Source organism: Homo sapiens, chromosome 12 (assembly GCF_000001405.40).
Source record: "Homo sapiens chromosome 12, GRCh38.p14 Primary Assembly".
Classification (NCBI taxonomy): domain Eukaryota; kingdom Metazoa; phylum Chordata; class Mammalia; order Primates; family Hominidae; genus Homo; species Homo sapiens.
Window position 1 is genome coordinate 73,923,862 of NC_000012.12, and position 6,000 is coordinate 73,929,861.

The window sequence follows — 6,000 nt, forward strand, 5'->3', positions numbered from 1 at the left end:
AATGGAGGCAAAACTTTTCATTAGTAAAGTTTGGCAATTCTTTTCTGTGCCTCATAATGTTTTGTGCATACCGTTGCATTTCTGTGTTGTTCAGCTCTGTGATTACCATATTTCATCAACTCTCAGCTAAATTCTTTTACATTTTTCTACTTGAGTTATTAAAATATGTCCTATAATCACAATTAGAAAGAAAGTTTCTTTACTACACTACATGAGAGCTACTCTATAATGCTGTTGTCATTGATTTCACCTAATTTAACTTACCTATCAAAGATATTTACATGGGGCGGTTCCAAGATGGCCAAATAGGAACAGCTCCAGTCTACAGCTCACAGCATGAGTGACGCAGAAGATGGGTGATTTCTGCATTTCCAACTGAGGTACCAGGTTCATCTCACTGGGGCTTGTCAGACAGTGGGTGCAGGACAGTGGGTGCAGCCCAACAAGCGTGAGACAAAGCAGGGCCAGGCATTGCCTTACCCGGGAAGCACAAGGGGTCAGGGAATTCCCTTTCCTAGCCAAGGGAAGCTGTGACAGACAGGACCTGGAAAATCGGGTCACACCCACCCTAATACTGCACTTTTCCAATGGTCTTAGCAAACGGAGCACCAGGAGGTTATATCCCGCGCATGGCTCGGAGGGTCCCACAGCCATGGAGCCTCACTCATTGCTACCACAGCAGCATGAGATCGAACTGCAAGGCAACAGCGAGGCTGGGGAGGGGTGCCCGCCATTGGTGAGGCTTCAGTACATAAACAAAGTGGCCAGGAAGCTTGAACTGGGTGGAGCCCACCACAACTCAAGGAGGCCTGCCTGCCTCTGTAGACTCCACCTCTGCGGGCAGGGCATAGACGAACAAAAGGCAGCAGAAACCTCTGCAGACTTAAATGTCCCTGTCTGACAGCTTTGAAGAGAGTAGTGGTTCTCCCAGCACGCAGCTGGAGATCTGAGAACGCACAGAAGGGACCCTCCTCAGGTGGGTCCCTGACCCCCGAGTAGCCTAACTGGGAGGCACCCCCCAGTAGGGGCAGACTGACACCTCACACGGCCGGGTACTCCTCTGAGACAAAACTTCCAGAGGAAGGATCAGGCAGCAACATTTGCTGTTCACCAATATCTGCTGTTCTGCAGCCTCTGCTGCTGATACCCAGGCAAACAGGGTCTGGAGTGGACCTCCAACAAACTCCAACAGACCTGCAGCTGAGGGTCCTGACTGTTAGAAGGAAAACTAACAAACAGAAAGGACATCCACACCAAAATCCCATCTGTATGTCACCATCATCAAAGACCACAGGTAGATGAAACAACAAAGATGGGGAAAAAACAGGGCAGAAAAGCTGAAAATTCTAAAAATCAGAGTGCCTCTCCCCCTCCAAAGGAATGCAGCTCCTCGCCAGCAACAGAACAAAGCAGGACGGAGAATGACTTTGATGAGTTGAGAGAACAAGGCTTCAGATGATCAAACTTCTCTGCGCTAAAGGAGGAAGTTCAAATCCATCACAGAGAAGCTAAAAACCTTGAAAAAATATTAGACGAATGGCTAACTAGAATAACCAGTGTAGAAAAGTTCTTAAATGACCTGATGGAGCTGAAAACCACAGCACGAGAACTACGTGACGAATGCATAAGCTTCAGTAGCCGATTCGATCAACTGGAAGAAAGGGTATCAGTGATTGAAGATCAAATGGATGAAATGAAGCGAGAAGAGAAGTTTAGAGAAAAAAGAGTAAAAACAAATGAACAAAGCCTCCAGGAAATATGGGGCTATGTGAAAAGACCAAATCTACACCTGATTGGTGTACCTGAAAGTGACGGGGAGAATGGAACCAAATTGGAAAACACTCTGCAGGATATTATCCAAGAGAACTTCCCCAACCTAGCAAGGCAAGCCAACAGTCAAATTCAGGATATACAGAGAATGCCAAAAAGATACCCCTCACGAAGGGCAACTCCAAGACACATAATTGTCAGATTCACCAAAGTTGAAATGAAGGAAAAAATGTTAAGGGCAGCCAGAGAGAAAGGTCAGGTTACCCGCAAATGGAAGCCAATCAGACTAACAGCGGATCCTTCTGGAGAAACTGCAAGCTAGAAGAGAGTGGGGGCCAATATTCAACATTCTTAAAGAAAATAATTTTCAACCCAGAATTTCATATCCAGCCAAACTAAGCTTCAAAAATGAAGGAGAAATAAAAGCCTTTACAGACAAGCAAATGCTGAGAGATTTTGTCACCACCAGGCCAGCCCTACAAGAGCTCCTGAAGGAAGCACTAAACATAGAAAGGAACAACTGGTACCAGTCACTGCAAAAACATGCCAAAAAGTAAAGACCTTCGATGCTAGGAAGAAACTGCATCAACTAATGAGCAAAATAACCAGCTAACATCATAATGAAAGGATCAAATTCACACATAACAATATTAACCTTAAATGTAAATGGGCTAAATGCTCCAACTAAAAGACACAGACTGGCAAATCGGATAAACAGTCAAGACCCATCAGTGTGCTGTATTCAGGAAACCCATCTTACGTGCAGAGACACACATAGGCTCAAAATAAAGGGATGGAGGAAGAACTACCAAGCAAATGGAAAACAAAAAAAGGCAGGGGTTGCAATCCTAGTCTCTGATAAAACAGACTTTAAACCAGCAAAGATCAAAAGAAACAAAGAAGGCCATTACATAATGGTAAAGGGATCAATTCATCAAGAAGAGCTAACTATCATAAATATATATGCACCCAATATAGGAGCACCTAGATTCATAAAGCAAGTCCTTAGAGACCTAAAAAGAGACTTAGGCTCCCACACAATAATACTGGGAGACTTTAACACACCACTGTCAACATTAGACAGATCAATGAGATACAAGGTTAACAAGGATATCCAGGAATTGAACTCAGTTCTGCACCAAGCAGACCTAATAGACATCTACAGAACTCTCCACCCCAAATCAACAGAATATATATTCTTCCCAGCACCACATTGAACTTATTCCAAAATTGACCACATAGTGGGAAGTAAAACACTCCTCAGCAAATGTAAAAGAACAGAAATTATAACAAACTGTCTCTCAGACCACAGTGCAATCAAACTAGAACTCAGGATTAAGAAACTCACTCAAAACCGCTCAACTACATGGAAACTGAAAAACCTGCTCCTGAATGACTACTGGGTACATAAAGAAATGAAGACAGAAATAAAGATTTTCTCTGAAACCAATGAGAACAAAGACACAACTTACCAGAATCTCTGGGACACATTTAAAGCAGTGTGTACAGGGAAATTTATAGCACTAAATGCCCACAAGAGAAAGCAGGAAAGATCTAAAATTGACACCGTAACATCACAATTAAAAGAAGTAAAGAAGCAAGAGCAAACACATTCAAAAGCTAGCAGAAGGCAAGAAATAACTAAGATCAGAGCAGAACTGAAGGAGGTAGAGACATAAGAAACCCTTCAAAAAATCAATGAATCCAGGAGCTGGTTTTGTGAATAGAGCAACAAAATTGATAGACCACTAGCAAGACTAATAAAGAAAAAAAGAGAGAAGAATCAAATAGACACAACAAAAAATGATAAAGGGGATATCACCACCGATCCCACAGAAATACAAACTACCATCTGAGAATATTATAAACACCTCTACACAAATAAACTAGAAAATCTAAAAGAAATGGATAAGTTCCTGGACACATACACCCTCCCAAGACTAAACCAGGAAGAAGTAGAATCCCTGAATAGACCAATAACAGGCTCTGAAATTGAGGCAATAATTAATAGCCTACCAACCAAAAAAAGTCCAGGACCAGATGGATTTACCACCAAATTCTACCAGAGGTACAAGGAGGAGCTGGTACCATTCCTTCTGAAACTATTCCAATCAATAGAAAAAGAGGGAATCCTCCCTAACTCATTTTATGAGGCCAGCATCATCCTGATACCAAAGCCTGGCAGAGACACAACAAAAAAAAGAGAATTTTAGACCAATATCCCTGATGAACATGGATGCAAAAATCCTCAATAAAATACTGGCAAACCGAATCCAGCAGCACATCAAAAAGCTTATCCACCATGACCAAGTGGGCTTCATCCCTGGGATGCAAGGCTGGATCAACATATGCAAATCAATAAATGTAATCCAGCATATAAACAGAACCAAAGACAAAAACCATGTGATTATCTCAATAGATGCAGAAAAGGCCTTTGACAAAATTCAACATCCCTTCATGCTAAAAACTCTCAATAAATTAGGTATTGATGGGACGTATCTCAAAATAATAAGAGCAATTTATGACAAACCCACAGCCAATATCATACTGAATGGGCAAAAACTGGAAGCATTCCCTTTGAAAACCGGCACAAGACAGGGATGCCCTCTCTCACCACTCCTGTTCAACACAGTGTTGGAAGTTCTGGCCAGGGCAATCAGGCAGGAGAAAGAAATAAAGGGTATTCAATTAGGAAAAGAGGGAGTCAAATTGTCCCTGTTTGCAGATGACATGATTGTATATCTAGAAAACCCCATCATCTCAGCCCAAAATCTCCTTAAGCTGATAAGCAACTTCAGCGAAGTCTCAGGATACAAAATCAATGTGCAAAAATCACAAGCATTCTTATACACCAATAACAGACAAACAGAGAGCCAAATCATGAGTGAACTCCCATTCACAATTGCTTCAAAGAGAATAAAATACCTAGGAATCCAACTTACAAGGGATATGAAGGACCTAGGCATGGGCAAGGACTTCATGTCTAAAACACAATACCATTCAGGACATAGGCATGGGCAAGGACTTCATGTCTAAAACACTAAAAGCAATGGCAACAAAAGCCAAAATTGACAAATGGAATCTAATTAAACTAAAGAGCTTCTGCACAGCAAAAGAAACTACCATCAGAGTGAACAGGCAACCTTCAGAATGGGAGAAAATTTTTACAATCTACTCATCTGACAAAGGGCTAATATCCAGAATCTACAAAGAACACAAACAAATTTACAAGAAAAAAACAACCCCATCAAAAAGTGGGTGAAGGATATGAACAGACACTTCTCAAAAGAAGACATTTATGCAGCCAGCACACACAGGGAAAAATGCTCATCATTACTGGCCATCAGAGAAAAGCAAATCAAAACCACAATGGGATACCATCTCACACCAGTTAGAATGACTATCATTAAAAAGTCAGGAAACAACAGGTGCTGGAGAGGATGTGGAGAAATAGGAACACTTACACTGTTGGTGGGACTGTAAACTAGTTCAACCATTGTGAAAGACAGTGTGGCGATTCCTCAAGGATCTAGAACTAGAAATACCATTTGACCTAGCCATCCCATTACTGGGTATATACCCAAAGGATTATAAATCATGCTGCTATAAAGACACATGCACATGTATGTTTATTGCAGCACTATTCACAATAGCAAAGACTTGGAACCAACCCAAATGTCCATCAATGATAGACTGGATTAAGAAAATGTGGCACATATACACCATGGAATACTATGCAGCCATAAAAAATGATGAGTTCATGTCCTTTGTAGGGACTTGGATGAAGCTGGAAACCATCATGCTCAGCAAACTATCGCAAGGACAAAAAACCAAACACCACATGTTCTCACTCATAGGTGGGAACTGAACAATGAGAATGCCTGGAAACAGGAAGGGGAACATCACACACCAGGGCCTGTTTTGGGGTGGGGGGATGGGGGAGGGATAGCATTAGGAGACACACCTAATGTAAATGACAAGTTAGTGGGTGCAACACACCAACATGGCACATGTATACATATGTAACAAACCAGCACGTTGTGTACATGTACCCTAGAACTTAAAGTAAAATTTAAAAAAATTAAAAAATTAAAAATAAATAGAAATTAGCTTTTTTCTAAAAAAAAAAAAAAGAAATTTACACTTATCTGATTATCACCTCACTTGAACTATTTCTATGTTTACCACCAAATGGAGTATAGTGTTAATTTAAATGTGAATTTCTACTTG